General features: G+C 38.6%; 1 long non-coding RNA gene across 3 annotated transcripts in view, besides 1 other annotated feature; it reads left to right on the forward strand.

The window, feature by feature from the left end:
- Window positions 550–1,147: an enhancer, noted in NCBI's record as "OCT4-NANOG-H3K4me1 hESC enhancer chr9:89025123-89025720 (GRCh37/hg19 assembly coordinates)". NCBI's record gives its function as "activates a minimal SCP1, AML or CMV promoter by ChIP-STARR-seq in naive H9 embryonic stem cells {active_cell/tissue: H9 hESC(naive)}" and the evidence as "EXISTENCE:reporter gene assay evidence [ECO:0000049][PMID:30033119]".
- LOC102724080 (uncharacterized) overlaps window positions 4,183–12,571 on the forward strand; it is a 117,440-nt gene continuing 109,051 nt past the window's right edge. For 2 of the 3 annotated variants that reach the window (XR_007061636.1, XR_007061635.1), the window contains exon 1: window positions 4,183–4,912. This is a non-coding gene — a long non-coding RNA (uncharacterized LOC102724080). Of the gene's footprint in view, window positions 4,913–7,427; window positions 7,578–12,571 lie in introns of all 3 variants that reach the window. The other variant, XR_001746546.1, reaches the window with a different exon arrangement.

A 12,571-nucleotide genomic window follows, 5' to 3' on the forward strand; every position in this document is an offset into this window, starting at 1 on the left:
TTTCTTTTTTTCTTTTTCTTTTTTTTTGAGATGGAGTCTTGCTCTGTAGCCCAGGCTGGAGTACACTGGTGCAATCTTGGCTCACTGCCACCTCCATTTCCCGGGTTCAAGCAATTCTCCTGCCTCAGCCTCCTGAGTAGCTGGGATTTCAGGTGCCCGCCACCATGCCCAGCTCATTTTTGTATTTTTAGTAGAGATGGGGTTTCACCCTGTTGGCCATGCTGGTCTTGAACTCCTGACCTCAAGTGATCTGCCAACCTCGGCCTCCCAAAGTGCAGGGATTACAGACATGAGCCACCACTCCTGGCCCTTTAATGTATTTCAAACAACAAAGAGTTGGCAAGCCCATGTGAATTCCCAAAATTAATTCTTTTTTTCTTTGAGATGGAGTCTCGCTCTGTCGCCCAGGCTGGAGTGCAGTGGCGCGATCTTGGCTCACTGCAAGCTCTGCCTCCCGGGTTCACGCCATTCTCCTGCCTCAGCCTCTTGAGTAGCTGGGACTACAGGCGCCCGCGACCACGTGCAGCTAATTTTTTGTATTTTTAGTAGAGACAGGGTTTCACAGCATTAGCCAGGATGGTCTCGATCTCCTGACCTCGTGATCCACCCGCTTTGGCCTCCCAGAGTGCTGGGATTACAGGCGTGAGCCACATCACCCGGCCAATTAATTTTTTTTTTTTTCAAACTGATCCATGGACTCATCTTCTGGAATCCACTGCCTTAAAGATCATGCAAATCTATGTGCTCATTTTACAAAAGAGGAATGTGAAGCCCAGGGAGTTTATTTAACTTGCTGATGGGCACAGATGGTGATCAAGCTGTGCTCAGAGCTGCAAGCTGTTTCCATCAAACCTGCTAGAAGCCTCCAGCTGAGATTAGGGCCCCGGCCACATTCACCTCCTAGGATTTGCAGTGGTGTAAAACGTGCCCCAGGATGTGCAGTGGTCTGGGGGAAGGCGGGAGAGACCCCTGGACCTGTGCTGGCATAGCTACCATGTCCATGACACTGGGAGGCTAAGATGGAGAGGAAAACAAGATGAGTCCAGCTTCCCTACTCAAAAGCCACAAAACAGTACAGTCAAGGACAATCCTGGTCTCATCTACACTATAGGCATTTCAGGAGGACCAAATTAGGTAACCAAGATGTGGGTGCTTGAAAAATTATGATGTATAATCTGAAAGCAATGTTAGCATCAGGCTACCGAGACAATCTTGTGTGGGCCAAGTGTGGAATCAGCATCATCATTTTATAAGCATGCTTCATGGGCCAGGTTTTCACATCAGCCTTGATATCTCCATCCAAAGCAAACTCACCCATTCATACTGGAGAAAAACTCTTCTTGATTTTTATGTAGTGAACTGAGATTCCTCTAATGCCTCACAAAGATATTTTTCCAATTTCAGATGGGAACCTGTCTTCCTTAAACTTTTCCTTTTTATAGCCCCCTGTAAAGATTTTGATATCATCTCATGTAATCTTCTTATTCCCAATTTTTTAAATGAGTTCTTTAGAGTTCTTCATTATACTGTGAGTAGAAAATTCCAAGTTATCAGTTTATCTGTTTTAGCCAAGGATTGAAAAGACATTTAGTATAATTTACAAGGAGGAAAATGTAAGGAAATAGGAGATTTTAACTAGATATTAAATAGAAGGAAACAAAACAACCTTTACAACTGCTTTTCTTGCTTTAGAATATTATTTTTAAGATTTAGCCTGAAATTGAGAATCAAGAGCTTATCTGGTTTGCTTTATGGTTTCTAAAAATTCATTTGATTCTAACATTACATGGTTCCTATTGGTATTTCTGTTTTTGATGGACAGATAATGTGCTGTAATGTCTACTCATGTAATATCTAGTGTTGCATGATTCCTCTCCATCTCTCTGTTTTTGAGAAACAGAAGCAATGTTTATTTGAGTGGAAATATGATTTCAAATCATATTTCAAAGACTTCAAATAACTGATAGTGCTCATCTCCCCAGAGGGAATCATGAGTCAAAGGTCAGGGAGTAGCCTGTGAATGAAAATGTGCTGTGCCCACAAGAAAAGATGTCAGTCACAAAGCGAAACTAACACCGCAAATATAAGGGGGTCTTCAAAAAGTCCATGAAAAATATGTATTGTGAAAAAACTGTGCATGGATTTAAAATTCTTTTTTTACAGCAAATAAACTTGTACTAATTTATTATAATATATCTGAACAGGGTCTAGTTTGAGGCACTAAGGAGGATAATGCATCCGTTTGAAAAGAGTCCTTATAAGAGAAACATGGATTCTGCTAAAATTCAAGCAAGAACAGACATCACATTTGTGGTGAAGCTTGGGTGGAAGAATGGTAACATCACTGATGCTTTACAAAAAGTTTATGGAGAAAATTCTTCAAGTGATAATTTTACAAATGAATAACTTGTTTTAGGAAAGGACAGGGCCGTGTGAGGTGGCTCACGCTTATAATCCCAGCACTTTGAGAGGCCAAGGATGATTGCTTGAGGCCAAGAGTTTGAGACCAGCTTAGGCAACAAAGTGAGACCCTTTCTCTACAAAAAATAGAACATTTACCTGGGTGCGGTGGTGCATGCCTACAGTCTGAGCTACTTGGGAGGCTGAGGCAGGAGGATTGCTTAAGCCCAGGAGTTTGAGCCTGCAGAGAGTTACAATGGTGCTACTGCACTCCGACATGGGTGACAGAGTGAGACCCTGTCTCTTAAAAGGAAAAGGAAAAGAAAGGACAACATTGTTGAAGATGAAGCCTGCAGCAGCAGACTATCCACATCAATTTGCAAGGAAAAAATTTTCTTGTTCATACCCTAATCAACAATACAAACAATAGCCATCATCATAGACAAAGGAACATCATTATTAGGACTGAAAATTAACAGCACAAACAATAGCCAACATTCTCGACATTTCAACTGGTTCAGTTTACACAATTCTGACTAAAAAATTAAAGTTGAACAAGCTTCCCGCTCAATGGGTACCAAAACAGTTGTGCCTGGGTCAGCTGTGGACAAAAGCCGAGCTTTCCGTGGAAATTTTAAATACATAGGATCAAGATCCTGAAGCATTTCTTCAGACTAGTAACGGGAGATGAAACATGGCTTTACCAGTATGGTCCTGAAGACAAGGCACAATCAAAGCAATGGCTACCAAGAGGTGAACGTGGTGCAGTCAAAGCAAAAGACGATGGGTCAAGAGCTGAGGTTATGGCAACAGTTTTTTGGGATGCTCAAGGCATTTTGCTTGTTGATGTTCTGGACAATAACATCTGACTATTATGAGAGCATTTTGAGAAAGCTAGCAAAAGTTTTAGCAGAAAAACTCCTGGAAGAGCTTCACCAGAGAGTCTTTCTCTACCATGACAATGCTGCTGCTCATTCCTCTCAGCAAACAAGGTCAATCTTGCAAGAGTTTTGATGAGACATCATTAGGTGCCTATCCTCCAGTCCTGATTTGGCTCCATCTGACTTCTTTCTGTTTTCTATTCTTAAAAAAATCTTTAAAGATCACCCATTTTTCCTCAGTTAATAACATAGAAAAGACAACATGAACATGGTTAAATTCCCAGGACCCTCAGTTCTTTAGGGATGGACAAAATGGTTGGTATCATCACTTAGAAAAGTATCTTGAACTTGATGAAGCTTATGTTGGGAAATAAAGTTTATATTATTTATTTATTTATTTATTTATTTATTTATTTATTTATTTAAGACAGAGTCTGGCTCTGTCGGCCAGGCTGGAATGCAGTGGCACGATCTTGGCTCACTGCAATCTCCACCTCCTGGGCACAAATGATTCTTGTGCCTCAGCCTCCCGAGAAGCTGGGATTACAGGCACACACCACCACACCTGGCTAATTTTTGTATTTTTAGTAGAGATGGGGTTTCACCATGTTGGCCAGGCTGGTATTTTTATCTTTTAATTCTTTTTTTTTTTTTTTTTTGAGACGGAGTCTTGCTCTGTCGTTTAGGCTGGACTGCAGTGGCATGATCTTGGCTCACTGCAACATCTGCCTCCCAGGTTCAAGTGATTCTCCTACATCAGCATCCTGAGTAGCTGGGATTACAGGTGTGCACCATCATGCCTGGCTAATTTTTGTATTTTTAGTAGAGACCGGGTCTCACCTTGTTGGCCAGGCTGGTCTTGAACTCCTGACCTTAGGTAATCCTCCTGCCTTGGCCTCCCAAAGTGCTAGGATTACAGGCGTGAGTCACCGTGCCTGGCCCCCATGACCTTTTCGAAGTCCCCTAGTATGCCTTTACACCCATTTCTAGAATGATTCCCAACATTCCTTCATTTATTCCTTTATTTATTGAATAAATAATTATTAAATGCTTGTCATGTATGTTCCAGGCTTTGCTCTAGTAATTTCGGATATATCAATGAACAAAGCAGGAAAGAAAAAAAAAAAAGGCAAAATCTCTGCCTTCCGGGAGCTCACATTCCCACAGGAGTCACAGGAAACAGCCAATGACCAGTAAGCATCACAAAGAAGTCATGCCAAAGAACCAGACAAATAGCTGGAAGGAAGAGGGGAACTCCTTTGTGACGCCAAATGGGCCAAAGGGTCGCTGGGAAAACTAAGCCTTACTGTCCATCTTGCCTTCAGGATAATGTGAAATATGGCCTAATTTTTGAAGTTTTTTTCTTAGAAATTTTACTGAATCCAAAATAAAACAAGAAGATCATGGTGGATATAGCTTCCAAATTTATTCTGCAATAAAACAGGTTTGAATCTAGATATACAAGCAAATAGCAAATAATATACATTCTTTTTTGCAGAGTCCAGAATTCTCTTTTCTCAACACTAGATGGCAGTAGAGTTAAAGAAAAAAATCCCAGCAGTTCTTTGTACAGGGATTTGGTGATTTTTCCCATAAAGCTGCGATGAGGATGAACTCAGAGCAAAATCTATGTAAGTAGAAAGTTAAATTACAATAGAGGTGTGAAATGATGCTTTAACATGTCACACGCTCATTTTGGCAAAATGTGTTTGGGGCAGAACTCTCTCTCTCCCTCTCTCTGTCTTTCTCTGCCTGTGTGTCTTTACAGGGTAAGCCTAGACAGAATTAGAGAACCATTAACTCTGACTCCTAATACATGATGTTAACTTTAGGTTGGTGAAAAGTCAACTTAACTTTTTTTTTTTTGGGGACGGAGTTTCGCTCTTGTTGCCCAAGCTGGAGTGCAATGGCGCGATCTCAGCTCACTGCAACCTCTGCCTCCCGGGTTCAAGCGATTCTCCTGCCTCAGCCTCTAGAATAGCTGGGATCACAGGCGTGCACCACCAAACCTGGCTAATTTTTTGTATTTTTAGTAGAAACGGGGTTTCACCATGTTAGCCAGGCTCGTCTCAAACTCCTGATCTCAGGTAATCTGTCCACGTCAGAGTCCCCAAGTGCTGGGATTACAGGCATGAGCCACCACGCCCAGCCAAGTTAACTTAACTTTATCCTTTAAAATTGCTTCTGGGTTTGTTAACTTTTTTTGATGCCATTTAACTGGTCCGCTCAAGATTGGTTAGGTCTCAGAGGACATTTAGTGTGAAAATGGGAAACTCTGAGGAAGTCAGCTTTTCAGTGGTGTTCAAATGTTTTAGCAAGAAGTTCAAGAGTAATGTCAAGATGCTCAGAATATAACACTAACAATAATGAATGCGTGGGAGAGGGGGAGATGAAGCAACTGTATTCAGCTGCTAACATTGATGAACCTGGGCAGAGGGTGTATGGTGTTCATCCTACTATTCTCGTAACTTTTTCATAATTTTAATTTTTTTCAAAATAGAAAATAGAAACAAGTTATCACAAAATGTGTAGCTTAATGCCTACAGGTAATAGATGCATAGAAGGAATTACTATGTAGCATAATCACAACTACAGCAAATACACCGAACATATGAGTCTAAGAAGTCCTGGATGAGATGGATCTTTCTAGAAGGCCAAGTCTTGACTAGTGACTGGGCCCTGGTCTGGTATTCATTCGTTCCATCATCCAAGTGATATTTATGGAAAAACTACTAAGTGTGAGACTATGAATAGGGGTTACTGCAGTGAACATCGTAGACAAAGTCTCTGCTCTCCTAAAGCTCACATGCAACTGGAAAGACAGAAAAAGGCAAATAGGCATTTAATAGATTGGGTGGTGATAAGTACTAGAAAGAAAACAGAAGCAGGAAGTTAAGATAGAGAGTGACAGGGTATTACTTTTACTTTAAATAGGGCGGTCAAGGTAGGACAGCCTCTCTGAGGAGGGGACATGGGAGCAGAGCCCTGAGAAGTGAGGTGTGTGGACTTTGTTCATATCTGGGAAGGATGTTCCAGGCAGAGCATGTGCCTGAAGAGCCAGAAATGGGCAAGCAGCGAGTGTGACTTCAATGAAGTGTGGGTGGGAGTCAGGTGGAAGTTAAGAATGGACAGGTACTAGAGCCAGATCTGGCTGTGTGGGCCAGCAAGTCAACACACATTGAAAATAAAAGCATCATTAATGCCTAACATCTATTATCAAATAGCTTTGTTTGGAAAATGGTTTGGTGGTTTCTCGAAAAGTTAAACAGCAATTCCACTTCTAGGTATATATACTCAAAAGAGGTAAAAGCAGTGTCCCACACAGATACCGGCACACTCACGTTTATAGCAGCATTATTCACAAAAGCCGAAAGGAGGAAGCAAACTAAGTGTCCATTGAATGATGAGTGGATAAGCAAAAGGTGATAGAGACATAGAGCAGAATATTATTGAGCCTTAAGAAGGAATGAAATTCTGATACATGCTACGACATTGATGAAGCTTGAACATATTAAGCTAAGGGAAATAAGCTGGACACAAAAGGACAAATACTATATGATTCCTCTTATATGAAGTACTCAGAATAGGCAAATTTGTAGAGACAGAGAGTAGAATGGAGGTTACCAAGGGCTGACAGGAGTGGGCAATGGGGATTAACGTTCAATGGGTATAGAGTTTCTATTTGGGATTGAGAAAAAGTTCTGCAGATGAATGGTGGTGATGGTTGCACAACACTGTGAATTTATTTGATGCCATCAAATTGTACATTTAAAATGGTTAAGATGATGTTTGTATTATGCATATTTTATACAACTAAAAACTTGATTTTTCTTATTCATATTATCTACTTTATCCTCTCAAGGTAACTAATTTATAAGGACTTTAAGATATGAAATGCTTTTTCCAGCAATATTTTCATTTTTTATCATGTTTTCTTTTTCTTCCCCTCAAAAGTAAAACATAGTGACACAACAAAATAGCATTATCTATACTCATGATCACCAAGACCTTTTCTTAAGAAGACAATACATTAATAGATTAAAATCACATTAAGAAATACTTATTTATAAGGGTAAAGGATTGGAAACAAATGAAATGTCCATCAATTGAGAAATAGTTAAAACCTTTTAACCATTTGTTCCATAGAATATTATGTGTCCATTAACATGATGATGACATGTGAAAATGTTTATGGATGAATTTTAAATTAAAATGTCAAGCTATAAAATTTTATATGGAGTAAGATCTCATCTTGGTTGGAAGAAAAACACATTCTGGAGGAACTAAAAATAAAAGGTAATTTGTCAAGATGCAAAAGGTGCTAATCTCTAAGTGTGAGATATTATGGATGATATTTATTTTCATTATATTTTTATGTATTTGCATCACCCCCAGTTTTTATTATGAAAACAGGGAGAAAATGCAAATACATAAAAACATACAGAAAATTTGAAAGATTAATACAATGAACATCCATATACCCTCCAATTAGATTCAATAATTGTTAATGTTTTCCCATATATAGTTTTTTAACAGCCCAGATATCCCCAAGTTCTCATACTTTCTCTATCATCTATGTATTAATTATCTATCTATCTATCTATCTATCTATCTATCTATCTATCTTCTATCCATCCATCCACTCATCTGTCCATATTAGGAGTTGACAAATCATGGTTCAAGGCCAAATTTGGGCCATCACTTGTTTTTGTACAGCTCTTAATTAAAAAGGAGTTTTACATTTTAAACAGCAACATTTTATCTGGTTATATAGGTACCTATAAAACAGCTTTGAATTTGCTTCTTGATCTTCATAGCCTAAAATATTTACCATCTAGTTCTTTACAGAACAAATTTGCCAATCCCTGATCTACACACACACCCACACCCACCCACCCTCCAAAATTTACTGAACCATTTGAAAGCAAGTTGCAAACATTATAACATTTCTACCTCACATACTTCATTATGTATCTCCTAAAAACAAAGTAATATTCCCACTTAACTATAACACTATCACACCAAAGAAAATGAACTATGATTTCACAATATCATAAATACCCTTCTATATGCAAATTTATGTGATTGTATTTGCAAGTTTTACAAAATGAAATGCGTACCTTTATAATAATAAATAGCAAATCTCTTATTAAAAGTCATATTTTTATAATCAACGTGAATTTTTAGCGTCAGTTTTCTTATTCAAGGAATTTAGGAAAGCTGCTCTAAACAGCTGATCCCCTGGACATTTCAGATCAAAACTTAATGTGTGTTCAGGTCAAACAGCTCATATTCTATAAAGCATTTAGTACTGGTAGTGGTGGTACTGTTTGCTGTAGATGTTGGCAGGAAAGGTCAGGTTGTTGTGTACTCTTTTCTTTGTGTTCAAAAAAGTAATATCTAATATCCCTGAGAATTTTTAAAGCTGAGTGACTTGTACTTGGTAGTTTGTTTCACTATTCTTTCAACCATTTTGGTGTACGATTATAAATTTCCATAATAAAAAAGTACATATACATCAGTATGATAATAGACTTGATTTATGACCTACATATACTAAGACAATGGCATTTAAAATATGTCAGAACCCTGAAACTTAGATGCAAAAATTGCATATGTGTTTGTATGCAAAAATTGTATGTGTGTGAAAATTGTATGTATGAATCTTTTATTTTAGCATAAGTAACAGCAATTGTCAAACAAAACACAGAAAGAAAGATTGGCTTAAATTTTGAATGGATTTTGAGAAAAGGCTACTTCATCCTTTAAGAGTCTTGTTTTTGTAAACATTTCATTTTTTTGTGGGATGTGAATCATGTGTTGGAATCACCTGATTTAGCTGTGGTATAACTAAGTCTGGAAGGTTTTGGGGATACTCTGTTTTTAAAATTCCCCACCACCAATCATGATTATGGTTACATGAGATACGTGTCCTGAAGAAAGAGATCTGTGTCCCAAAGCTCTGGAGTTACTTAAACCATGTACTTTGTAAGCTCATCTTTGCTCTGTTTGAGCCATAATGTTATGTCTGCTTTCACCACAATCACATGGCTGTGGAACTGGCAGGTCAGGCCCTCTTCCAGTGTGCTACAGTGTAGAATCTGCTTTATAAAGTAAGTTGAAAGATTCAATATGTTTCTTCTCCTTGCTTTAAGAAGAGCTCAAAGATAAACATTCTAGCATATATATATTTTTTTTAAGTGGAGATTGGGCCAGGCGCAGCGCTCATGCCTATAACCAGCACTTTGGGAGGTTGAGGCAGGAGGATGGCTTGAGCTTAGGGTTTCAAGACCAGCCTGGGCAAAATAGCTGTCTCTATTAAAAAAAAATAAAGTGGAGATAATCATGCTGTGTTATTTAGTAAGGAAACATTTGATAATATAACATTTGGAAAACAGTGATAGTGAGCCCTTGAGAACTCTAATGGCTCAAAATGTAGTACTGTTGTATTTTTACAAATATAAAACATATAGGATTTTAATATGCTCAATGAGATATCAACAGAAAAGTTACTATGGAGTATTAAATCCAGAGCAGCCAGATGCACTTGAATTAGCATAAAAATAACCCATTCTTTTGGAAAGAAGTTGTGGCAAAATATTTTGTTCTGATTGAGTAGGAAGTGTACATTTATTACTTCTTCTTTGTATGCTATCCTTATTTTATGATAACATAATTTTGGCCTAGACTATGTAATTTGGCCCTTCTTTATTATATCAATATATAATTTTGTTTTTCTTTCTGTTTGGTTTCATGTGAGTTCATGAAGCAGCTTTTCACTTGTCAATGTCATTTCTCTAACATGTGTCTTTTTTCCTTCATTCTTTCATTATACATTTATTGATCACCCATTTATTGATTTTATTGTAGTAGTTATGTTCTATGAATTAGTGAATACTAAACAATTGGTCGTAGGAGAAATACAAGGTTAGATTCCTTTAAATCTCTGGTCACTTTTTTTTGTCAACCAATCAATACATAACCTTGTGTTATGTGTGTTTCTGTTTAATGACATCTTATTTAATATCTGTTTGATTTACTGACATTGAACTCATGGCCAACAGTGCTGTAACTTGTGCCTGAACAAAGCTTGTCTAACACATATATTTTCTCTGTAAATAACATCACAGCCTTCTTGTGCTTTGGCATGCTGGACAACACTTCATCACTATACTCAGGGCCATTTAAAACAGTGAAATCACCAACAAAAAGCATAAATTGTAAAAAATATGGCAATAGACAGACTGCAGGAAGAACACTTGTTTATGGTATGAGAGGTGGAACAAGGCAAAACAAAGCCTTGCTTTATGTCCGCTGGAAACTTGCACATTGAGGGTTTCAACTTTTCACTGCTCTGTACATGCACATGTCCACAAAAGTGCACTAAACATGGATTTGAAAGTGACAAATAAATTTTGGTGAATTCTCAAATATGGAATTTGTGAATAATGAGGCTTGGCTGTATTTGCAGTTACTCTGCTAGGTTCTGGGAACTCAATGATGAACAAGACTGAATTCTTCGCTCAAGCAGCTCAAAATCAATTTCAGAGGAGGGATGCAAACATACCTAAATAGAATTCAGTGCAATAACCACTGTAATTGAGCTATAAGCAAGAAGTTATATGAATTTTTGGGAAAAAGCACTTAACTCTCTAGTACTTATCATGGAATGATGAGAAAACCAATCAACTTGGAAGTCAGGCCTGGGCCAATTTTGGCCCTGTCCCCTCATGAGTGTATGGCTACACTTTAATCTAAGTCCTTTAAAATTTTGATTCTCAAACTACTCACTGAGAAGTGAAGATGGTAACACCCACCCTTCAGCACAACTGTGATGAAAGCATCTAATGCTGTGCTTGGAAGATAGTTAAGTCCCCAGTTAAAGACTTAGGTTTGAAGAAGTAAAGGGCAGCTTTACAGAGGAGATGACATTTGAGCTGTGCCTTGAAGCATGAGAAGGATGTCCACTGCTGGGAAGGAGAGCTTTGGGCTTGTAAGCCCTTTGTAGTTTTGTTCTTTATCATGCTCTGATCTAGCCAAGTGAGGTGCTAGGAACATAATAGTTACTCAGTAAATAAATGCTGACAGCTTGGGTGAGTAAAGGGTGAAGGATCCCTTTTTGATCTCTTTGATACCTGCTTTTTTGTTAGGCCACCTATTTTCATAGCAACACGTATTCTTGGTACATTATATATCAATCTTTGGAGATTTAGTCTGTAGAATTTTTTTTTTCTTTGAGATGGAGTCTCGCTCTGTTGCCCAGGCTGGAGTGTAGTGGTGTAATCTTGGCTCACTGCAACCTCCACCTCCTGGGTTCAAGTGATTCTCCTGCCTCAACCTCCTGAGTAGCTGGGATTACAGGCATGCACCACCACGCCTGGATAATTTTTTTTTTTTTGGATTTTTAGTAGAGACAGGATTTCGCCATATTGGCCAGGCTGGTCTTGTACTCCTGACCTCAGGTGATCCACCTGTCTCAGCCTCCCAAAGTGTTGGGAGTACAGGCGTGAGCCACTGCGCCTGGCCTAGTCTGTAGAAATTGAACAAGAGAAAGTACATAATTTAGCTAGGAGTTGTATCCTCCCAAAATTGATTTTGAGTAAAAAATGTGGCTGGAAAATGAAAGACATGTGTCTTAGTTCATTTTGTGTTGCTACAAAGGAATACCTGAGGGTGGGTAATTTATAAAGAAAAGATGCTTATTTGGCTCACGGTTCTGCAGGCTCTACAAGAAGCATGGTGCCAGCTGTCTTCAACAATCAGTACTTGTGGGGACTAATAAAGTGAGAACTCACTACTATGAGGATGGCAACAAGCCGTTCATGAGGGATCCGTTCCCATCATCCAGACACCTCCCACCAGGCCCCACCTCCAACACTAAGGATCAAATTTCAACATGACACTAGACGGGGTCAAATATGTGAACTATAGCAACATGATAAGAAGGAAAAAAAAGAAAAAGAAAAAGATGAGAAAATTTATGTGTGTGTGTGTGTGTGTGTGAGAGAGAGAGAGAGAATGCTTAAGGGAGACAGGTGACATGTAACAATATGGATAAATCTTAGCAATGTAATATTAAGTGAAATAGTAATTCCCCCAAGAACATATGCAAACCTACAATCTGGAGACACGAGGTAGCACTGTAACCAAGAGGTCAAAGCTAATATCACCAACAAGGGGCCTCTGAATGTGATTTCCTAAGAAGAACATAGCACCACTTCTGTGATATTTCTGCCCAAAATGCACAACCTGATTTCCATCAAAAGGGAACATCAGGAGAACATAAATTG

This window comes from Homo sapiens, chromosome 9 (assembly GCF_000001405.40).
Source record: "Homo sapiens chromosome 9, GRCh38.p14 Primary Assembly".
Lineage (NCBI taxonomy): Eukaryota > Metazoa > Chordata > Mammalia > Primates > Hominidae > Homo > Homo sapiens.